The 25,835-nt window shown below is 35.7% G+C and overlaps 1 long non-coding RNA gene across 2 annotated transcripts in view; it reads right to left on the reverse strand.

The window, feature by feature from the left end:
• Positions 1-708: 708 nt before the first annotated feature.
• LINC01945 (long intergenic non-protein coding RNA 1945) overlaps positions 709-25,835 on the reverse strand; it is a 54,115-nt gene continuing 28,988 nt past the window's right edge. For both annotated transcript variants that reach the window (NR_146485.1, NR_146484.1), the window contains exons 3-7: positions 21,034-21,156; positions 11,864-11,910; positions 11,332-11,503; positions 10,652-10,753; positions 709-1,266 (exon numbers count right to left, since the gene is read on the reverse strand). This is a non-coding gene — a long non-coding RNA (long intergenic non-protein coding RNA 1945). The remainder of the gene's footprint in view (positions 1,267-10,651; positions 10,754-11,331; positions 11,504-11,863; positions 11,911-21,033; positions 21,157-25,835) is intronic.

Raw genomic sequence — 25,835 nt, forward strand, 5'->3', positions numbered from 1 at the left:
AATCTAAAATAAATATTGAAAAAAACTCTGATATTCCTTACAAATACAAAGAAAAGAAAAAAAAAATCCTCAGTCAAATACTAGCAAACTAAACCCAATAACTTTAAATAGGATTACAAAACATGACCAAGTAGGATTTATCCCAGATACACAAATATGCTTCAACAATGGAAAATCAATTAATAACATATGTATATTAATAAAATAAAGGATCAAAAAGGATTATCATGACAATAGTTGTGGAAAAATCTTTGGAGAAAATCCAACACTCATTCATATTAAAAAACCTATGACACTTAACAAACAATAAGACACTTAAAACACAAGCAACACGAGAAAAATATTGTTAAACTGGACTTCATTAAAATTAAAGGCTTTTGATCTACAAAATACACCACTTATAAAGGGGAAAACCAATGTATAGCAGGAACCAAAATATTTTCACATTGTGTATCTGATAAGGACTTATGCATACTATATAAAGAACTGTTACAACTAAAAAATCAAAAGACAAATAACTCAATTAAAAAATGAGCAAGTAATTTGAAAGACTTTATGCCAAGGAAGATATACAAATGGCCAATAGGCACATGAAAATATGCTGACTGTTATTAGCCATTAGGGAAATGCAAATCACAATCATAATGAGATGAAACTTCACAAATACCAGAATAACTATAATAAAAAAGACAGATAATAACAAGTGTTGTTGAGGATGTAAAAGAATTAGAACTCTCATACATTGCTTCTCAGAATGTAAAACAGTTTCTTTGAAAAACAGTTTAGAAATTCTGCATAAAATCAAACATAGAGCTGCCATAAGACCCAGAAATTCTACTTGTAGGAATATACACAAGAGAACTGACCATGTCTGTTCTATTTGTTCACACAAATACTTATACATTAACGTTCATAGCAGCATTATTCATAATAGACTGAAAGTGAAAATAATTCAAGCATCCATTAACTGATGAGTGTGTAAATAAAATGTATTTTTAAATCTAGAATTAAAACCTTGAATGTCAGTACTCAAAAATTTCTATTTTAAAAAATATATGGTTATCCATTTCATTATATTTTCTGCAGTTTTATTCCATCCATATGTGGAAAAGATAAATTGTATGAGAAAGAGGACAGAGTTCATAAAGAAAGACTAGTGTTCCACAAAACCCTTAAATTCACTAGAAGAGAAGGTCCTTGACTCAGCGACCATGAAGAAGAGTCCAATCAAGCCACTTGAAATTCTTAAACTTTTCTTCTTGCCACCTGTTTTGGATAAAATGCAAACGAAAATTGCTTATCTAGGTTCTCTGTAGTCATTCAACATAGGCTCACCAAGTTAAAAGTTTTAATTCTAGATTTTAGACTCTGAGAAATGCAAATCAAAACTGCAATGAGATACTAACACCAGTCAGAATGGCTATTATCAAAATAAAAAAATGAAAGATGCTGGCAAGGTTGTAGAGAAAAAGAGATGCTTATACACAGTTGGTGGGAGTGTAAATTAGTTCATCCATTGTGGAAGACAGGGTGGTGATTCTTCAAAGACCTAAAGAAAGGAGTACCACTCAACCCAGTAATCCCATTACCTGTACTAGTCTGTTCTTATGCTGTTAATAAAGATGTATCTGAGACTGGGTAAATTATAAAGAAAAGAGGTTTAATGGACTCACAGTTCCACATGGCTGGGGAGGCCTCACAATCATGGCAGAAAGAGAATGAGGATCAAAGTCACATCTTACATGGAGGCAGGCAAGAGAGAACTTGTTAACTTGTGCAGGGCAACTCCCATTTATAAAACCATCGGATCTCATGAGATCTATTCACTATCAGGAGAACAGCATGGGAAAGACCTGCCCCCATGATTCAATTATCTCCCACTGGGTCCCTCTCATGAAACATGGGAATTACGGGAGCTATAATTCAAGATGAGATTTGGGTGGGGTAACAGCCAAACCTTATCAATACCCAAAGGAATATAAATTACTCTATTATAAAGACACATGCATGCATATCTTCATTGCAGTACTATTCACAAAGCAACGACATGGAATCAATCTAAATGCCCATCAGTGATAGACTGGATAAAGAAAATATGGTACATATTCATCATGGAATGCTATGCCGTAAAAAGAATGAGATCATGTCCTTTTTAGGGACATTATGGAGCTGGAGGCCATTATCCTTAGCCAACTAATGTAGAGACAGAAAACCAAATACCACATGTTCTCACTTATAAGTGGGAGCTAAATGATGAGCACATATGGACACAGAGGGTAACAACACCCATGGGGCTTTTCACAGGCTAGAGGGTAGAGGGAGAGGATCAGGAAAAATAACTAATGGGTATTAGGCTTAATACCAGGGTGATGAAATAATCTGTACAATAAACCCCCAAGACACAAATTTACCAATGTATCAAACCTGCACTTGTACTCGTGAACTTAAAATAAAAGTTAAAAGAAAAGTCTAAGAGTTCATTAAACATGGAAAAGAGCAAAGAAGATTATAGGTAGATTAATAGTGGATAGAGAGATAATGATCAAAACTAATTTTAATAAGTAATTGAACCATTGGTTGTTTCTTGTCAACTTCCTTTCTGGAATGTAGACTTTATGAGGGCAAGCCCCATGACATTTATAAAATTATCTCAATAACCCTCTTACCTTGGAGGTGGGCACTCTCATAAATAAATAGAAGAAAGGTGAAGAAAAATGAAAAAACAATGTGTTTGAAGAAGTGACTGTGTTTCTCTGTGTGTGTGTGCATGTGTGTGTGCTGAATCTGTAGGATGTTATGAGCTTATTGATTAGCTTATTGATTATTAGAATGGGAAAGAAAATTTAGGGTCAGATTAAAATGGGCCTTGAATTATAATTATCACATTGGATATGTTTATCATTTGTAGAAAATTTGAAGTCATTTCAGGTGATTTAGCCATGATGTTTTTATTCTCTTCTTCTTTAAACTTACAATGTGATATAAAAAGTAAGGGGCCTCTCACTCAAATCACAGTGAAATTTTTAAATCTTCCTTGCCTAAAAATTAGTTGATATCAGACTTTTAAAACTTGCTTGTCATTTAACCCTTCTTCATCTTCTATTCTCCTTAAACAGTTAACCATGTCTTTAGACACGAGTCTATACCTTGAATTAAAACAAAAGGAAAATGATCAATTTTCACCAGATCCAGAATTTTCTATTCTGAAAGTGGTAAAATGAACAGGAACTCCTTTTCCATTCCATTTAGTTACAATGTAAGCTAATTTGAATTATATGGATTTTAGTTAGCTCCATATGTTATATGAATAAATTCTCGATTTGTGTGTAAAACTCGAAATCATCTTTCAAATATTGCCATCTGGAGGCATTGTAAACTTTGTTTATGCCATTGCCTTGTGCAGGTATTATTCGAGTTTGTAAACACCGTTATTAATTATTTTTCATCTGGATTGATTTTGATTTACATGAGGTTTTACTAATGTGTTCCCATACAAAACACACAATTACTCTTCACATCATATAGTTCTGGGCACCACATCAAATATGTGAGAAAAATTTCCCCAAATGTATTCTATATATGGGTTCAACTACTATCACATGTTGTTTCAGCATTATATTGAATTAGTAAATTCTCTGTGAAATGTCATCTATTTCTACACATATGCCCCTCGGGACATCTGTCCTATTTGTCAATACCACAATCTGGGCATCTGTCAAAATTACAGGCTATACCGACGTTTAGGCCCCTACATTGATTGGCCCTATCACAGGGTATGTAAAATAAACAAAGTTTAAAACATCATCAAAATGGGACCATATGTCTAAACCTATCTCATGACCCTTAGCAGAAGGAATGGGTGTTACTACGAATTGTCCCATCTTTCCAGGAACCTGAACTAGACACAGTAAAGAAGTCTCTTGCTAAATAAATGGGTCCTTCTGGTTCTACAATAGGTCAATGTAGATATTAGTCTGCTACCTTATGTGTACTTTTTATTTTCTGGCAGCTGACAAATAAAATTACCTCAAACTCTAAGATGAGAAAACTAAAGTTTGAAAATCCAAATTTCTTATGCCATCTTTGAATGAATTGCAAATGTCTTAAGCCATCTCTGAATGAATGACATTCAGAAACAGCAAAATATTGACATGCTTACCTTCAAGTATCCCTGTTATCTTCAAGCAACCCTGTTCCAACAGCGAAATTTTAGCCCTGTGAAACAATCCCCAGGGACTGTGAGAATATGAATTGATTTTAAAGGATGGCTGGTTAGCTGACAGGGTCTCTGCTTTCCAAAGCATTGCCAATTCGGTGTTCAACTGCTCATAGGGGTTATTTTAAACTAACCCAACTGACGGTATAACAGTCTTAGGGTTTCTGAACCAACTTGCTTATATGAGCAAGGAATGAAATTATAAGACAGACACGGAGGAATTCTGAAAATTCCTTGTGGACAAAGAGGAGTTGGGCAGAGAAAAGCTTGTGCACTCACTCTTTCAGACTGTGTGAAAAGAAATGAAGTCCTTTTTTACTTTTATTTTATTTTCAAGTCATTATTTTTCAATTGTACTCCTTTGGTTGCTAGTGAAGTAAACATTGTTCCCAAGTGACTTTAATTTCCCCAAATTACAGGAACTATAAATAAACATTCACAAATTCTGCATTTATATTACCAATTCAAGTAAGATATTTTTATACAATCATGTTTAATTTGGGTTTGTTTATTTGAATACATTTCATGAACATCTTAGTTCAGCTTAGCATTTTAATGCTACTGAAATGTTTTATCAGAAATAATGGGGCTAATTATGAACTCATGATAGGTCACCAATTTCTGGATTTTCTCCCAAATCACCATCAAGTCTGTGAAAAGAGCCGTTGAATCATTTGTTTTTAAACATAAACCAAGCAAACCTTTCTAGGAACTGAAAACTATATTTTCTCATTAATGTGATCATTTCAGGAATTTTGCTAAATAGGGGGTCAATATAAACCAACAAAAATTACCCATACTCACCATCAAGAGGTAGTCGTGGTAATTTATTTTTGTATTTCCTTCAATTCTTTTCTAAGCTTTTTTTTTCAACTTTTATTTTAGAATTGGGGGTATGCATGCAGGTTAGCTGCAAAGGTATATTGAGTGATGTTGAGGTTTAGAGTATGAATCAATCTTTCACCGAGGTAGTGGGCATAAGATCCAAAAAATAGTTTTTTAGCCCTGCCTCTCACCCTCTTTCCATCCTCTAGTAGTCCCAGTGACTATCCTTTCCACCATTATGACCATGAATACACAATAGTTAGCTCCTGCTTATAAGTGAGAACATGCAGTATTTGGTTCTGTTTCCTTGTTATCTTGCTTAGGATAATGGCCTCCATATGCATCCATTTTGCTGCAAATAACCTAATTTGGTTCTTTTTTATGACTGTGTAGAATTCCAGTGGTATACATGAGCCACTTTTTCCTTATCTACCAGAAGATATTTTTAATAACTACTTTAGTGGAGAATGAAATCACCTTTGGTCAGAAAAGATGGACTCTCAGCAAAATTTTAGAAAAAGATACAGAAGGAGATTTGGAGCATGTGAAAATGCATAAAATAAGAACACCATTGTCATAATCCAAATTGCAGGTTAACCAGATTGCCAGCAGATCCAGTTTATTTTGATTTACAAGAAGTAACATACATTTCCCATCAGATTATTGGCAAAAATGTATTTATTGCCAACCTTGGCCACATTTTGTCTTTGAGTTTTCTTGATAAAGTTCAGGTGTTGAAAATGGAGTAGGGGTAAGAGGAACAATCTCAAAATCAGAAAGCAAAATGAATTTCTCTTTCTTTTTAAATCTGCCCTTGGGACAGGCCTGAGTTTTTAAGCATAGTAGGTTCAACAGTGGATCTCCAAAGATATGTTCAACTGGAATCTCAGAATGTAACTTTATTTGGCATAAGAATCTTTGTAGATGTAATTAAGGTTAGCATCTCAATTTGAGGTCATGCTGGATTGAGATAAGCATGAAATCCACCAATGAGTGTCCTTATAAGAGACAGAAAAGGAGAATACAAAGAAACATAGGGAATAATGACATATGAAGACAAAAGTAGAGACTGGAGTTATGCTGCCATCAGCCAAGCAATGCCTGGGGCCACCAAAAGCTGGAAGAGGCAAGGAAGAATTAAAATTTTTCCCTAGGGCTTTTGGAAGGAACATGGTCCTCTGACACTTTGATTCCAAACTTCTGGTTTCTACAACTGTGAGAGAATAAATATCTGTTGTTTTAAGCCACCAGCTTGGATGTAAATTATTATGGCAGCCTTACAAAACTAGAAGACTAGATACGTGCTCTTATTGTTAAACCCAACCAACCAACCAACCAACAGACAAACAGCATCCAACATGATCTAATGTTTTCTTCATATCCCTCATGACGAAAGGAAGGTACATAGAAAGAACTGGAATTGTCCTGAGTTAATCCACTCACTGACACTCTAGCCCAAACTTGAGGGGAACCATCCAAATCATAGTGAGTAGGTCACAGGAGGATGTCACATGTCACAGGAGGATACTAATCCCACCATTCACAATGTCTTTGCCCAGGGAATGGGGTCTGTTATGAGGCATTATACCACCTGGGCCTACACTAGGCAGGGATTGGCCTGAAAGCACATCCTTCATATATCTTCTGCTGCCTGTAGCATGTATGATGCACTCAAAATCTTAAGAGTCCATGGCTTTGCATACAGGTATAAGGTTTTTTATATAAAGGATGGATAATGAGGATGTTATTAAAGCCACACTGCCCCAGGCTGGGACACAATTTGAGAACCCAGCACTGCACATCTGAGCCTAAACACAAAAATTGGCCATCCTCTGTCAAGCCAGTCAGCAAGATGTTACAGGCTGCAGTTGTTATGTGGGACTTAAAGACAGAAAATTTTCAGTGGCAAGGCTTAAATAGGAAAATGTTTGGGAGGCCGAGGTGGGCAGATCACAAGGTCAGGAGATTGAGACCATCCTGGCCAACAAGGTGAAACCCCATCTCTACTTAAAAAAAAAAAATACAAAAAATTAGCTGGGCGTGGTGGTGGTGGGCACCTGTAGTCCCAGCTACTCGAGAGGCTGAGGCAGGAGAATGGCATGAACCTGGGAGGTGGAGCTTGCAGTGAGCCGAGGTCGCACCACTGCACTCCAGCCTGGGTGACAGAGCCAGACTCCGTCTCAAAAAAAAAAAAAAAAAAAAAAGAAAGAAAAAGAAAAAATAGGAAAATGTTCGTTGAAATCTTGCTAAAGTCTTAGAATGCAATCTGACTAAAATCATAAATAAATACATAAACAAGCAGACAAACAAATTATCCCTGCCCCTGAAAAGCAGTCAATCAGAAGTTCTTTGTGCTACACTCCTACTAAGAGGAGATAATAGCTAATTGGTATTTACCCTCATGGTAAAAATTCCCTTAGTGCCTTCAGAAAATATTACCATTTACCTAAGAGAGAGTTCAACAAGTGCTCTAGGATGCAAGTGGAGGCAACACAGGCTGAAGTACTATTGTGTCCTGCCTCAGCATCTGCTCTCCTACTTCTGTGAAAGAGGATGCAGCTGTCCTGATGCTCTGGCTTTTTCTACAGGGGAGACAAAACTAACTGATGGTCTTATCCTTCTTTCATGTATAATATGCATAAGAGGAGATTTTACATATTTTGTGTATTAAAGGGCTTTGACCATGCACTTCATTTCCAAGGTGACAGTAGTTACCTTGTGAAATGATAATGAAACCACAACAACAAAAGTCAGCAGTGAGGATTAGCAAAGAAAAAACTGGGACCAGGAGTGGAGGTGCTGATTGATGTAATGTAGTCACCATGTACACGTTGCTATGGAAATTATGCAAAAATGAAAGAAAAAAGGAACTAAGTAGTTGTATTGAGAAGATAGAAATGACATGGCATGTCTCTGGTAACATTATTGAAGAGATTTCTTCCATTTCCTGAGACAAGCATCTAGAATAGTTAAAAATGGGAAATTAAGGGGTTCAGTCAGAAGATTAAGTTAGCATTACAAATCTCTCACAAAATAAGAATCAGCATCTCTCCTCAGTCTCCTGATGAAATTTTTTGGCACTGTGTTTACATCTCAGGTTCAGAAAGATCACTTGCAATCCTCATGACTAAGCTAATTTCACTGACTTGGTTAAAAGGATATTTTCCATTTTTTTTAACAGCACAGTCTTTGCTAAAGAATGGCTCCCAGGGTTTAATCTCTTATCCTAATTCGAATCACACAGTCCATAATTTCCTGGTATCCAAACAAATTCAGTGGGCAGGCATGAACAAAATTTGGCCATAAACACTAGTAATCACCATTTTGTTTCAAGCTTTAATAAGAGGTTGTGGCTACAATGCTACTTGCCAATGGAGAGAAGTCCTCATATCAACCTCGGCAGTGGTTATGATTTATTTAAAAAAGAAAGAAACCAGGAGCCATCTCGGTAAAATTAACTGCCTGTGGTATGAACTTTGATCAGCCTACCAGAACCACCATCTAGCAACAAAATCCTTGGGTAAATCGAAAATGTTAGAATAAAAAATAAAGAAAATACAGGCAAAGAGAGAGAAAGCAAAAATATTCTAAAACTCATGTCAGAGTTAATAGTCTTTAGCAGTGAAAAAAACCTTTTTTTCCTTGAGGGTTAATTAGTTGCTTCACTTTCCCTTGTCTAGAAAAGATTGCTGTAGTAATTATTATTAACACTCTTAATAATAATGGTAACCAGTAATAATAACTGAGCCTTTTTACATCCCAGGGTTAGTATTATAATTGGTGCCTTATGTATTAATTCTTCTGATCCTCACCAGAGGAAGCTCACAAAGGTAACTAACTGGCTAAACCTCTCATAGGCAGTAGGTGATACAGCCTGAAGAACCCAGATGGTTCAGCTCCTGAATCCTTCTTCTTACCATTATGTTCTGCCACGTCTCACATACCAGTGGGAATCCACACAGCAGATGACCCTTAACTTTGTTCTGTAAAAATTCCATAGTAGGTAAAATAAGCTATCACCCAAGGGGTTTCTCTACTCTCCAATACAGAAAATGGACATTAGCCTAGTGATACCAAAATGCTACTGTTCTTCGTGTGAAATCCTAGCCAGTTGAAACCATTAAAGGGGACAAATGTCACTGAGCATCTACTGGATGCCAGACATTATTTCATGCATTTCAATGTGATTTATCTCACTTAGTCAAAAAAAAATATATATGGTAAATTTGAAGAATGGTTAAAGAAGTGGGTGAACAGCCTTGGCATTTTCTCAACACTATAATTTTTTTGGTTGTTTACTTTGTTTTTTCTTGTAATTAACTAATAATAAAAAGTTCAATAACAACAGCTCACTTTTTTGAAGAATGGTTAAAGAAGTGGGTGAGCAGCCTTGGCATTTTCTCAACACTATAATTTTTTTGGTTGTTTACTTTGTTTTTTTTCTTGTAATTAAGTAATAATAAAAAGTTCAATAACAACAGCTCACTTTTTTTTTTTTTTTTTTGAGACAGAGTCTCGCTCTGTCCCCCAGGCTGGAGTGCACTGGCGAGATCTCAGCTCACTGCAAGCTCCACCTTCCAGGTTCACACCATTCTCCTGCCTCAGCCTCCTGAGTAGCTGGGACTACAGGCATCCGCCACCATGCCCGGCTAATTTTTTGTATTTTTTTTAGTCGAGACGGGGTTTCATCATGTCAGCCAGGATGGTCTCGATCTCCTGACCTCGTGATCTGCCCGCCTCGGCCTCCCAAAGTGCTGGGATTATAGGTGTGAGCCACCGTGCCCAGCCAACAACAGCTCACTTTCAAAATGTATGTTACTCTTTAGAATGTATTCAATCACTAATTTTTGCTATGTGCGAGTTGTTCTTATAGTGGCCAGAGTCCCTCTTCAAATAGGTGATAAAATATCTTAAAGTATGTGAATATTCATATGTCTCAAGTTCAGTTAACAAACAAATATAATTAGATTAAGCCTTGATATTTCTAATAGACTTCTCTAATAAATGTATTTTCTTAATTTCTACTATTATTAATGCTTTTTATTTAAAATTGAGGATGTGATACATAAGAAATAAATATAACTAGATAGAGCCTTCATATTTCTAAGTTTTCTCTAATAAATATATTTCCTTAATTTCTACCACTATTAATGCTTATTTAAAATTAAGCATGTGATAACTATTTGTTGCCACCTCATACAAAATAAAATAATGTAATATTAATTATGCTTATTGTGCATGTGCTTTGTGTCGACTTACGGTGTAAGTTGTCTAGTAGCTCAGTTAGCCCCCACTTGCCAAACTATGTAGTCATACCAATTTTTTTTTCAGATGGATAAAGGGAGGCAGGAGGGTTTTGTAACCACAGAGTTCATCATCAGAGGTGAACAGGACCAAGATTTGAACCTGACAGTTTTTCTTCAGAGTTGGAAATCTTAATCTCCATACATACTTGAGGTTTTCGGATGCTCACCAAATTTTCAGTTATCTAACTTAAATACGGACAATGTGAAGGTCACAAAATTACTTTCAGTCATCTCTAAGATAAATCTCAGAGAGATAAGCAATTTTTCAGCAGATGAAATATAATTAAAACAAGAGATTACGTACCTTCTGGTCCTGTTGCCAAGAGATCACTGGTTTCCCCCAAGGCTTGATCTATTCATGAGGGCAGACGTTGGAATACTTCGAATTTCTCCTCATCTAGGTAAGCTTCGGGATGCATTATGGCAACCAGAATAATTTTATTCAAGAATAGGAAAGGCCAGCTAGTTTAGCACACTTAGACATGAAATTTACTATTATCATATTTAATTCAATCTTATTTCTTTTCTATTTCAATTTACAGATAGAAATTATAGAGTAGTTTTATAGGCTGACCTGTGTAAACTCCTTCTCATAATTTTTTAATACAGTCCTGAGGATTCTATACAATAATGTAATTGTGTTGCCTGCCATTCAATGAGTAATTGGCCTTCAGGTTTCTCTTAATGATGGTAAATAAGATGTTACGATTTCCTTTGTTTTCTGTAAGATATTTAATAATGAATGTCTCAATCTACCACAATGTTTAACTTTGGGGAACAAGATCTGAAAAAAATATACTCTTAAAAACTTAAATGTTGAATTATTCCTTCACATGTAATGTCCTGACACTGATGTTTCTACCAGCATACAGGGAGTAAATATTCAAAATGATTGCATAAATGTATACAAACTAGAGGCTAGGAACTGGTAAGCCTTGTCCAGATGACAAGACACTCTTTGCTAAAATTAACATTCTCTCTCACCTCAGAGGTTTCATCATTGCTATTGTTGTCAATATTGCTGTTTATTAAAACTGTATTCTGTAAATTACCAGTGAGAGTGAGTGGTTTTAATATTACTTTAGTGTCCACATAGAAATTCTTCAGTGATGAGAAGACCCAAAAGATTGCTCACTGTACAGGGACTCTTGGCTAGCTAAAAAAAAAAAAAAAAAAAAAAAAAAAAAAAGCTAAATATTTCCATTGCTGAGATGTAAACGAAGAATTCCCAAACATTTGAGGTATCTGTTTAATGTCTAAAATAAGAAGTTGAAACCTTTCACTAACAACTTGTGCTGTGAAACACATAAGTTTAAATGAGTAATTCAACAGTTACTGTTTGGATTTACATAGAAAGACTTTTGCCAAAGCCTGTGCTGAACACATATCAAAACAATTATGCCTAGCATGTACACAGTGATAAGAATGTTTTCTTTTGGCATCCACTAGAGGAGAAACTTAGAGCAGCACCACTTTCTGCCGCTACCCTTGGGTCCATGCTGCGGTAGTTACTTACCTGAATTGTCCTCGGAGTAACTGCATTTCCTTGTATATGAAATGGACCTAAAGTAATGGATTTGCCCATTAGTGAATAATATTAGAAACAATTTCAATTGTAATGCAATTGCTGTTCAGTTCCATGCAATTTCTGCATAGAAACACAACTGAAAGAAAAATGACAACCAATCAACCAGTAAAACGGCAATAAATACTTTTTAGGTGAGAAAACGTCAAAAGAGTGTGGATTTGGAAGTCCTTCCATTGTGCTAATTATCGATCTTTTTTCTCTCTCTGAACACTTGTCAACAGTCATTAGGTTTATACAATTTTCTCTTTTTAATGCATCAAAAAATCACCAAATAGGAAGAAGTAAATCTGTATAACGGGACATCTAACAATTGGTTTTAAAATACATAACCTACAGTCTAAAATAAAGAAGAAATATATACATGTGAAGCTTTTTTTTGACTGACTATATTATAAAATATGCTAAAATTGTACTGCAAATGAACTCTCCTCACCTCCCAAATAATAACAAAACATACAGTGAAACAAAATTGTACAAGTTTATATTAAGGCTCTCAAATTTAAACTAAGCATAAAAACTGAGCAATTTATCTTGGGATTCTAAAAAATAAAAATGAATCTAACAAAATTCAAATTGATGATACCCGACATGTTGTCATAATATAACAAAGTTTACTCTCTGAAGAAATATCAAGTTTTAAAAATAAATAGGAACAAAACCAAGCATCATCTAAAGGCCAGTTTCTAGTTTTCTCAGCACCATGGGTAACTTTTGTAAGAAATGAGATAATCCTGTAGTCCCAGCTACTTGGGGGGCTGAGGCAGGAGAATGGCCAGAACCCGGGAGGCGGAGCTTGCAGTGAGCGGAGATCGCACCACTGCATTCCGGCCTGGGTGAAAGAGCGAGACTCCGTCTCAAAAAAAAAAGAAATGAGATAATTAGATTTACCGCAAATGAAATTTTGATGAAGTGCTATTGAAGTATAATATTCTATGAAATCCCTTGTTACCTTGAAAGGAGCTAAATGACAACTGCTTGATTATCATGGGACAAAGATAACTTTAGGTTTTTTTCTTCTAAATTGTGGATAGTGACTATTTCGGTATTTTCTGTAATGGTATTTTCTGTAAGTGATATTACCCAGCTTTTAGGTCCACATCTTAGCCAAATCACTTCCTGAAACCTGACTTACAACAAAAACCTTCTTTGTTCTTCCTTAGCCTGTGAATAGTGGCAGCATTTAAAATTAATACCATGCAATTACCTTCTGTTCTATGATAATCTTTCATATTTTCTCTTGTTTTCTCAAACTCTTCATAACTCTTAGGTCAAATTTCATGCACTATATAGTTCCCTTCCTTTTGTATCACCTTTATGTAGCTAAGATTATAGTAAGTTGTTAACAAGAATTTATAGATTTATCGGTCAAATTATTAACCGTTCAACAAGAAGACCAAAGCCAATGTAATATTTTTAAAAGTAGGGATTAAGAAAATTACCTTTGGTATTATCCTTAAAGAGAGTTTTAGTCCTTATTTTCCAATACATACACTCAACTATACCTCCCGTTTTGTAAGAAAACCACCTGCATTAGGGAACATTTCTTAAATTGTTGAAGTCTTAACATTGATACATTTAACTATTTACTTACAATCTTTGGGAATATTATAGAGGATATTCACTAAAGATAATTAAAGAGATTGTACTCCACATGTCAGATGAATGGCTTTAAAACCTTAGTAGAATTCACCAGGATTTTTGCTTAAAGTGCAAATTTCTCAGTTAGTTCCAAGTCCAGAGATTCTGATTTAACAGGCATAGAACAGGACCTGGGAATCTGCATTTTAAATAAACTCAAGGTCCATCTTAAATGCACTCAGAAATAAGTGATTTTACTACTTGAGAAATGTAACTTGAGGAGTTTAAAATCTGTGAAATCTGTGATAAAAATTAATTATGTGGCTGGGCATGGTGGCTCATGCCTGTAATCCCAACACTTTGGGAGGCCAAGGCAGGCAGATCACAAGGTCAGGAGTTCAAGACCAGCATGGCCAATATGGTAAAACCCCGTCTTTACTAAAAATACAAAAAAATGTAACCAGGTGTGGTGGCTGGTGCCAGCTACTTGGGAGGCTGAGGCAGGAGAATTGCTTGAACCGGGGAGGTGGAGGTTGCAGTGAGCCTAGATTGCACCACTGCACTGCAGCCTGGGTGACAGAGTGAGACTCCAGTTCAAAAAAAAAAAAAAAATTAAATATGTGCTTTGGCACTTTAAAGAGAAGTAAATAAATGATTCGTGTTTGGCTTCTATTCTGTCCATCTCTGCTAATTTTCTTTCTTTCTTTATTCACCTTGGCTGGTCTGTGTATTTACATGTAACTTTCATGAAAACTCCATCCATCTTCATCAATACACATAATACATACCTTGCAAGGCCCTTTTTAGAAGTCCTATTCAAATATTTCTGAGCCAGATGAATCAGTCTGTGTTAGTCTGTTTTCATGCAAATAAAGACATACTTGACGGGTCATTTATAAAGAACAAGTGATTTAGTGGACTCACAGTTTCACATGGCTGGGGAGGCCTCACAGTTTCACATGGCTGGGAAGGCCTCACAATCATGGCAGAAAGCAAAGGAGGAGCAAAGGCATGTCTTAGATGGCAGCAGGCAAAAGAGCTTGTGCAGGTGAACTCCCATTATGAAACCAACAGGGACTTATTCATTACCATGAGAACAGTATGGGGGAGACCGCCCCCATGATTCAATTATCTCCACCTGGCCCTGCCCTTGACATATTGAGATTATTACAATTCAAGGTGAGATTTGGGTGGGGACAGAGCCAGACCATATCACAGTCCCATAATCTCTTTTGTAGTGATAAAAATCACAAGTCTGAACCATTCATGATATTTTCTTATACTATAATTTATGAAAGACTTACGGAAGATTTTTTTGTATCTCCTCCACCTTCACTATTGCAATGGATTAAATGGTTGTTTTTCTCCCCCCACCCAAATTCATATGTCAAAATCCTAACCCACAATGTATGGTACTAGGAGGTGGGGTCTTTGGGAGCAAATTACATCATGAGACTGGAGCCCATGTGAATGAGATTAGCACCCTTATAAAAAAGACCCCAGAGAACTCTCTTGCTCTTTTTCTATTGTGTGAGGATATAAAGAAAAGACGGCAGTCTACAAGTCAGAAGAGGGTCCTCACAAGAATTAATCCATGCTGGCACTCTAATCTCATATTTCTGAACTCAAGATCTGTGAGAAATAAATTTCTGTTGTTTATAAACCCATCCAGTTTACAAAGTGCCTAGTCTATGGTACTTTGCTCTGGCAGCACAAACTAAAACAACTATATTTTTAAGAAAAAAAAAATGCATGAACATACATCTATAAAAGTCTTCAACCTGATAACTCTGAAATAACTTTTACTTTAATGGTATTCATATAAGAAAGAAATGTATGAAGCCAAAATAAATCTCAAAATTAAGGGGGAATATTACTTACCAAAATGCATGTTTGCTTTGCCAAAGCCTGAAACTTTTTTCTTTTTAAGCAAATTGAAAACCTCAAAGATTTCAATATTTTTTATTACTTATCCCAGCAAAATCATTCAGACCACTTATTTTTAAAATTATATAGTCACTGATTTATTTCACTTTTATGCAGTTAGGATAGGAAGTGGAGGTCAATTGGAAAATATAATTATAGGAATAGGACCATCATGAAATGATTTTTTAATTTATTACCATTCAGAGCATCTATACTTGTTTGTCACACATTCAGAAGAATGGAAGAAAGGAGGGTAGAGAATGAGTCATATGCATTGAAAATTATTATTCAGTTTCAAAATGAGTGCCCAAAACTATAGACACTGTAAGACACTGAATTTGAATATTTTACATTTCATTCTTCTATTAAAATTCATTTCATTGAGAACAAAAAGAAAACAAGAAAAAATAAGAAGATAAGCATCTTCAGAGAAACAACTACAGCCCGAAACCATGAACTGAGAAGCAAACCTTCCAAATACTGTTATATTTCAACTAAAACAAGGAGTGATCAGAGTGAATGCTTTCACATGTATAATCAGTACATGTTCAGGATGGTCATTTTTTCCAGCTATCATTGCCACTACTCTGGGAGATGTAACTCAAAAACTATTTTTCTTAAAATTGTTAGATTTTATGGAATAATGTGACCATGATATTAATAAAAGTAGGAAAGTCACTATAGAGTAACTCAGTGTTGTCTAACCATAAAATGGAAAGAATTTGAAGTTGTAAGAGAATTCAGGCTGATGTACTCTATTCATTTCATATACTCTGAGTTCCAAACAGAATGAAGCTCACAGAAGTGGAGAGGAGCAAAAGAGAAAAGCATTAACCAGCATGTGATAATATAGAGATTAGAAATGTAGATTTAGAAACCTAGGAATCTAAATATGAGCCACATTACCTTTAGAAAAGTGAATGCTGATAGGAGGAGAAACAAGTGTCCAGTACTTAGGGAGTAAGGAAATTAGTGTGACAGTATTCCATTACAAAAACATGGATTTAAAAAAAGGTACAAACTGCAATGCCACACCGCTCCTGCCCCAGAGGATCCCTTAGCTAATACCTGGATCTGTTCTATGAGGAATGCAGAGAGAAAAAAATCAGTAAAATATATATGCCTGGTGTTCTATTTTCTAAATATGAAAATGAACAAAAAGCATAAACAAGATGCAGTTGCTAAAACTAAATCACAAGTAGAATTACCAAAGTAATCAGAGAACAAATTGAAGTTAACTTAATCTCAATTTAGAAATTGAAGTGAACAACTAAGGAATTATATAAAAAAGAAATACATAGGCACTATACATCAGCAATTACATCCAGAAAAATAGTGAATATCTAGAAGAAACCACACAAAAGTAAATTATATGAAAAGACAAAGGCATAATAAAAATCCTTAATATGGCATTGGTAAATATAGATGCATGACAATGGAGACTCAACCTCTGCCTACTTGATGTTTTGAAGAATAAGAAAGAACATTAATACTGGAAACATTACTTGTTGAAAACTTCAAAGAGATAAAATGACACTTGAATCTATAGATTAAAATAGCATTCTGTTTTTTAGACAAAAATATAGAGATACTGATCATCACTAAGACTGACTTTGATTCACTTACTAGATTTGAAGAATAAAGCAATAGGATAATTGTCATCTGGGCAGTTAAACAAGTCTCTGAGAATTCAACTGTTGCCGATAAAGAATTAATGATTACCAGAATTATGCAACTTTTGTAAACGTCTAGAAATCCAGAACAAGTATATAAACTGTTTTTATTGCATGAAAAAAATAGGCAGCCCAAAACTGTCATTTCTGAGAGAAAGAAAACAATATATACCCTTTATTGTGCCAGCATACTTACTGAAAGTGATTTCCAGCCTCCAGCATGGTATGAGACAATCCGAGAGAGAATATCATGATTTGCTGAATTTAAGAGCAAGATATCAAAGTTTATGTAGGCCAAGGTGACTAGAATCATCAAGGCAGACTGACAGAGAGAAGAGGGCTGCACAGAGAGAGAACTGTGGAGATTTACATAGAGGTTCTCTGGAGTCCTTGAGTGAGAACTGAACTGTGCCTACATAAAGTAAAACTCCATGAGATAGAAAAATGAGTCTTCATTAGCAATGGGCCAGAGAAATTCCTGGAGGTCATATGGGCCTTAGAAGAACCCGTATGTGCTCCAGCCAGAGTGAGAAACTTATAATAGCAGATAGAGTTCTCAGAATAATCACACCTTAGTAGCGGGGTGAATCAGTTCTAGAGTCAAGGCTCTGAAGCCATTATAATCACATTTAAAAGCAAACAATATCACCATTGATCTCAGATAACTTAACTGCATTTGAAAACAAAGTTCATCTCTCTTTAAAGAAATAAAACAAAATCCAGATCCTAACAATGTAGAATTCAGAATTTCCCTTAGACATTAAAAAAATAACAGAAATGCATATAAACAAAAAAATTGATCCAAAACAAGACAAAAATTAATCAAAACAGACCAAGAAAAGATAGAAATTATGGGATTAGAAAATATTAAGCAGCTTAACAACACACATAATTGAAATCCCAGGAAATGGGGGCAGGGCAAAAACTACTTGTAAAGGTAGTGGTTGAGATATTTTTAAAACTTGGTAAAACTATAAACCAACAGGTAAAAGAAGTGCAGTGGACTCAAAGCAAAATGAATAAAAGGATTAAGTTGAAGAAAGTTGTTTTTAAAAAGAAAACTTAAAAACAGTTGGAGAAAAAGAGATGTATTACTGACAATGGAACCAATGTAATAACTACTTTTTATGATAAGCATGTATATCAGAAGACAGTAGCGCAACATTCTATTACTTAAAGCAAGAGAAACAAGTCAACCTGGAAATTCATTCAAGTGAAAATTCTAAAAAAATCAAGAAATTTACAAAAATGAAAGCAAATAAAGCTATTTTGACAATAAGTAGCTGATAGATTTTATCAACAACATACTGGGACTGAAAGAAATGGTAGACAAAAAGAAAGTAACAGGATGATAATGTACTTTTTTTATTATTATACTTTAAGTTTTAGGGTACATGTGCACAACGTGCAAGTTTGTTACATATGTATATATGTGCCATGTTGGTGTGCTGCACCCATTAACTCGTCATTTAACATTAGGTATATCTCCTAATGCTATCCCTCCCCCCTCCCCCCACCCCACAACAGGCCTTGGTGTGTGATGTTCCCCTTCCTGTGTTCTCATTGTTCAATTCCCACCTATGAGTGAGAACATGCGGTGTTTGTTTTTTTGTCCCTGCGATAGTTTGCTGAGAATGATGGTTTCCAGCTTCATCCATGTCCCTATAAAGGACATGAACTCATCGTTTTTTATGGCTGCATAGTATTCCATGGTGTCTATGTGCCACATTTTCTTAATCCAGTCTATCATTGTTGGATATGGGGTAAAGGATTCCTATTTAATAAATGGTGCTGGGATAATTTACATTTTTAAAAAGAAATGATTCATGTTAGAAATAATACATAGGGCAGTGCATGGTGGCTCACGCCTGTAATTTCAGCACTTTGGGAGGTTGAGGTGGGCGGATCACAAGGTCAGGAGTTGGAGACCAGCCTGACCAACATGGTCAAACCCTGTCTCTACTAAAAATACAAAAATTAGCTGGGTGTGGTGGCACGTGCCTCTAATCCCACCTACTCAGGAGGCTGAGGCAGGAGAGTCTCTCGAACCCACGAAGTGGAGGTTACAGTGAGCCATGATTGCACCACTGCACTCCAGCCCGGGCAACAGAGCAAGACTCCATCTCAAAAAAAAAAAAAAAAAAAAAAAGGAAAAAGAAACAATACATACAAAAGACATTTTTTCATGTTTTAAGTAATGTTAAAGGTAATGGATTATTTAAAACCAAAATAATAATTATTTCTGTGGTATTCAAAATATTTATAAAGAAAGGAGGAAAACCCTATGACAGTAGGGCAAAGAACTGTAGAGAGAAAATGGATAGACAGTTATAATATTTGTTTTTTTATTTGAACATTTATTTTAAATTTATGGAACACATGTACAGGTTTGTTACATGGATATATTGCGTGATGCTGAGGTTGGTGGTACGGTTAAGCCCGTCGCCCAGGTACTGAGCATAGTACCTAACAGATAGTTTTTCAACCCCGGTCTCCCTCCCTCCCTTCCTCTCCCTCTAGCAGTGTCCAGTTTCTATTGTTGCCGTTTTCATATCCATGAGTACCCTGTGTTTAACTCCCATTTACACGTGAGAACACGTGGTATTTGATTTTCTGTTTCTGCATTAATTCACTTAAGATAATGGCTGCAAGTTGCATCCATGTTGCTGCAAATAGATGGTTTTGTTCTTTATTATGGCTGTGTAGTATTCCATAGTGTATATGTACCATATTCTCTTTATCCAATCCACTGCTGATGGGCACTTAGGTTGATTCCATATCTTTGCTATTGGGAATAGTGCTACAATGAACATACAAGTGCATGTGTCTTTTTGGTATATTTTCTTATGGATATATAACCAGAAATGGGATTATTAAGTCAAATGGTAGTTCTGTTTTAAGCTCTTTGAGAAATCTCCAAACTACTTTCCCCATGGGCTGAACTAATTTACATTCCCACCAACAGTGTATAAACATTCCCCTTCTTCTATAGCCTTGGCAGGAACTTTTCAATAAAATATATTATTAAACATTTTTGGAGCTTTTATTAATAGCCATTCTGGCTAGTGTGAGATGATATCTCATTTTGGTTTTGATTTACATTTCTCTGAGATTAGTGATTACGAGCATTTTTTTCATGTTTGTTAGCCACTTGTGTGCCTTCTTTTGAGAAGTATCTGTTCATGGTTTTGCTCATTTTTAAAATTATTTGTTTTTTGCTTGCTTAATTATTTAAGTTCCTTATAGATTCCAGATAAGAGACTTTTATTGAACACGTTGTTTGTGAATATTTTCGCCCATGCTGTGGGGTGTTTGCTTATGCTGTTGATAGTTTCTTTTACTGTGCAGAAGCTCTTTAGTTGAATTAGGTCCCACTTGTCAATTTTTGTTTTGTTGAAATTGCTTTCGAGGACTTAGTCATAAATTCTTTCCCAAGGCTGATTTTCAGAATGGTGTTTCCTAGCATTACTTCTAGGATTCTTATAGTTTGAGGTCTTACATTGCAGGATTATAGGTTGCTGGGTTTTAGTATCATGGTAATGCTGGCTTCAGAATTGCAATATTTTAAAACTATATAGCAGGTATTATAAATATTATTTGAAGGTTGAGTGTTTTAAGTTAAAAAAAATGTACAGATGGTACTCTTTATGCACATCAGTGCGGGGCCTTAGTAACCACTGTGCAAGTTGAAACTGGGCAAAGTTATCTTAATAATTACTGGAAAAACATAAACTTGTTCCTGCAATCATTAAAAACACTTGTCAGTCAGGTGCAGTGGCTCGCACTGGTAATTCCAGCACTTTGGGAGGCCAAGGTGGGCAGATCACTTGAGCCCAGGAGTTTGAGACCAGTTTGGGCAACATGACAGAACCCTGTCTCTACAAAAACTACAACAAATTAGCCAGGAGTGGTGATACGTACCTATAGTCCCAGCTATCCAGGAAGCTGAGGTGCGAGGATCACCTCAGCCTGGTGGTCGAGGCTACAGTGAGCCTTTTTGATACCACTGCACTCCAGCCTGGACAACAGAGTGAGGTCTTGTCTCTAAATAAAAGAATAAATAAATAAACACATTTGTCAAAATATTAAAAATGTCTTACTGTTGGTTATATATGCATAGAAAAGTAAAAACCAAAAAACAACCCTAAAACTAGTATTTACATAGTACACTATAATTTAAAACATTGATAATTAAAATACATGTTTTATATATTTCTTTGAAATGTATTCAGATTAGTTTGTACAGTATTTGTACAACTTCTCATCATGTGACTCTCAATATTTTTTATGCTTTGGTGAATTGCCATACTTCTTTATAAATTTGATTATTTGTCCAACATTTTATTGTTTGTGCGTTCATTGTCTTTAAACATCTTGGAGAGTTTCTTCAATGTAATTTTTTTTCTCAGCATCACATCTTCTGGGAAAACTTTCGTCTTTTCCCTGCAATCAGCTTCTTCATTTAAGTTGTAAATATGTATTCCATAAGTTCCCCTGACTGCACATATGAAATCTCTTGGATGGTAGTTGTGTCAGCATTCTCGCAATTAACTATTTCTTCTATAAATCCATCAAGATCCGATCTGAATTCACTTTCGGTGTTGACACTTTCATTTATTTGCCACACTTTCATTTTTGTTGGCTGATTTTCTGTCGTTTATCAATTTTTGTGTAATGTCACGTCTTTATCACTGAAAGACAAAGAAGCAACACTACTGTATGCTTTCCTATCTCTGTATGAATACAAAACAGATACATAGTAATTGATTATTGATAGATATTGAGAAAAGTGACATGACTAATCATGGATCTTGATGCAAATCTGACATTTACCTAATAGTTTTATGGACTGAAGAGTTAACAGAAAAAAATTGTACTTCAAGCCATTAGTCCCAATTAATACACTGCTGTACCTACACTGTTTTGTTTTGGGGCTTGTGCTATGTAACTAAAGCATGATAACTAAAGCCTTTGCATATCAAAACTAAGGAAAACAAGAACTGTCTATTTTATGAGCCCTATATCAATCATTAAAATTAAAACAATGGAATGGTTAAAAGCTAATAGTGGAGATAAAAGCGGATCTTAAAAACTAAATTTTCAATTCAAAAGAAGGCAGAAAAAGGGGGAAAATGAACAAAAATGATGAGACATTTAGAAAACATATAGCAAGAGAGTAGTTATACACCCAATCATATTGATAATTGCATTAAATATAAATTGACAAAATATTCTTATTAAAAGGCAGAGATCATAAGACAGGATTAAAAACCCTGACTCAACTATATGCTCTTTATAAGAAACTTACCTGAACCAAAAAAAAGAAAAACAAACAAACCAAAACCCACTAAAACTGTGAAGAGCAAAGTAGGCATCAGAACAGGAAATATCACTGGGGATGAAGAATAACATTTCATAATGACAAAGGGGAAAATACACCAAGAAGACATGTAAATAATAAATATGTATGCACACAATAGCATTACTTCAAAATACATAATATAAAACCTATTAAAACTGAAAGGTAAAATAGTAAAACCACAGTCATCCATGGGGATTTCAACAGTCTCCTGCCAGAAATTTTTAAAATTTGTTAAACAAAAAATTGGTAAGGGTAGAGAGGATCTTAAAAATACAATTAGCCAACTTGATCTAACTGAATCTTTTAGAATAATCTAAGGATGAGGGATGAGGTAGCAGAGAAAGAAAAGGCAGACATCAATGTGACATTACTGTTTCAAGGCTATGAGAATACACCAATAATTGTGTGTGTGTGTGTGTGTGTGTGTGTGTGTGTGTGCAGATGGTAAGCTCAATCTTAAAAATGTTGAGTTTTAACTGAAAATTCATTATTAGGAAAGATAAGAGGAGATGATATCTAGTGAGAGGCTGTATGACTGAACTCTAAGAGAAAGGTCACAGCAGAAATTGTGTACCTGACAGCTCTAGAAGGAGGTCAGTCAAAAGTAAGTCAGTGATGAATTCTCTGGTGTAAAAGCAGAGGAATGAGGATTAGATTTAAAACACATGGAAGCAGAGTGACTTATGATAAAAACATGAGCTTGAAAATCCTGCAGAGAGGGCTTTAAATCCTGGGTATGATATCCTGCTTGTGTAGGCAATAGTGATAAAAACACAACAACAAAGAGAGGTAAAGAGCACTTTCCTTTGATATAAGTAAAGGGCACGACTTATTGCACATATATATATAGGTATTCAACTGAGATTCAACATGTTTCTCTCATTGAAACAGCAAGCTCTCCAGGCCTTCATGTTCCCAGTGAGGTAGGTACCCTTCTGATGATTATACTCACCCTCCCTCATTGCAAAGCTCCCGTTGTTATTGTCTTGGCTCTGGATTCCCTCAAAAATAGACTATGAAACAAATATCTGGGGTCAGATACTTTAATCAGAAATTGAGTGAGAAAGCACAGAAGTGGAGAAAATGAAACAGAACACGAAGCCAGTGTGAATGAGTAGTTACTGCTATGTGCTCAGTAATGACGGAGGTATGGAGATTGTCTCAAAATAACTTTACAAAGAGATGGGGATGCTGGAATCCCCATCTCTTATTGCTTAAGGATTACCTTAGAATCATTAACTCTCCACCCCTAACTCCTTCTTTGTTCCTATGTGTGGTTGAGAAGCACTGGTTAGCCTCAAGAAGCTTGCAGGCAGGTCCACAAATCAGAAAGACAGGCATGATGTGGGGAGCTCTCAGTTAGCTGGAAACAGGTGAATTTCAGGTGAACACATTGAGTCCAGGACATAGAAGACAAGTCATCAACAATATCTGCTATAGCCAGTTTTCTTTTTCTATAACACATATACTTTTTATTGGGGGTCCCCAAGTCCCCCTTTGGTTTAATGATTCACATAACTCAAGAAAGCTGATTTTTTTTGTGGTTATAGTTTCTAACAGTGAAAGAAACCAGATTAAAATAATCAGAAGCATAAAAGCACATAAAGTTGAGTCCAGGACAAACCAGATATGAGCTTACAGGTGTCCTTTCATAGTGGGGACTTCACACTGACTAATTTTCTTTACAATCATGTGAGACAACATGTGTGAACTTGTTGCCAACTAGGGAAGCTCAGTCAGTCTTGAGTCCAGGGTTTTTATTAGGATTCCACCACATATGCATCGAGCATCCTGTGACTGAACTTAGCTACTTAGTTCCCAACCTCCCTATGCCCTGAGAGGTCATATTAATATGGCATTACACAAAGTCATAGGCATACAGAAACAGGTGCTCACAAGAAATAACGTTGTTAGCATCAGCTATTTGGTATGACCTACGTTTTCAAGTATACAAAGACTCTCATCAGGCAGCATATACCAAGGGCTCATAGGTTGTCATCTCCCAGGAGGTTGTCAAGGGCCAGTGCTGAAGACCTTTGGAATGCGCAAGGTTTTGGAAAGCCATGTCTGCAGAATTAACCATTACACACCTTCCAAGAATTTTTTTTCTCTTTAAAAATGTTTTTTGATCTTTGACAATGTACCAACCAAGACTGAGTAATTAGTAACAGCAGTGTACTCCTGAGTACTTGCACCTGCAAGGAGAAAAAGGACAGATGCACTTACATAGGACAGATGCAAATAGACACCACTATGACAAGTAAAGCTGGAATAATCAATAAATTCCTAAAGACAAAGTGGGGCTGGTCAGATTGGGAGACCGCTGACAGCTGCAGAAGTTGGGAAAGATCCATCATCTTGAAAACTTTTTCCCCACAAACCCACTGCGATCTCTCAAGCAATTGGTAAGGAATCCAAGAGAGTCTGTATATGACACAGATCAGGGAGAGCAGAACACTTGGGAGGTGACCAGGTCTTGGGGGCTGAGCCCTTATGAATGGGATTAGTGCCTTTATAAAAGAAGCTCAATGGAGTTCTTGTGTGCCTTCCACTATGTGAGGACATAGAAAGAAGGCACCATCTATGAACCAAGAAATGGGCTCTCATCAACACTGAATTTGTGAGCATCTTTACCTGAGATCTTTCAGCCTCAAGAAGTGTGAAAAAAGAAATATCTGTTGCTTTTTAGTCACCCGGTTTATGTTATTTTGTTATAAGAGTCCAAATAGACCAAGATATTCCATTCCACTTAATATGTAGGGGAAGACAACAAAAACTGCCACACTTAGAATACTCCTGATACTGGAAGTATGAAAACAGGAAAAACAAAACAAAACTGCTCTTGAAGGTGAAGGAGGAATATCACTGAGCTCACCAACACAGCCAGGAAAAGAACAGAAGTGTGAGAAGGCTACATTCCTGAGACCCTGAGAAAAAGTACCTGCATAAGACTGAGATGAAATTACCTACCCTAGTTATAATTGAAATCCCAAAAAGAGGAAAAAATAATGGAGCAAAAGAAATATTTTTCAAAATAACTGCCAAAAATATTCTAAAAGAAGTGACAGAAAATCAAACTTCAGATATAGGAAACTCAGAGAATGTCAAATAGAACAAAAATAAATAAGAAATACATCTTGAAAAATCTTTAAGAAATCAACTCTAAATTTTATATCTTGCTCCAAATATATAGAGATATAAATAGGTTAGCATGAAGATATGGAGAAAGCCATATCATGGAAACACTAAAATAAAGCTGTGGAAGGACATTGATATTAGACACAACAAAGTTCAGAACAAGAAATAGTATCAGAAATGAGAGATAATAGATAATATAATAATTCTCAAGATGTGAACATCC

The sequence above is a fragment of the Homo sapiens genome, chromosome 2 (assembly GCF_000001405.40).
Source record: "Homo sapiens chromosome 2, GRCh38.p14 Primary Assembly".
Lineage (NCBI taxonomy): Eukaryota > Metazoa > Chordata > Mammalia > Primates > Hominidae > Homo > Homo sapiens.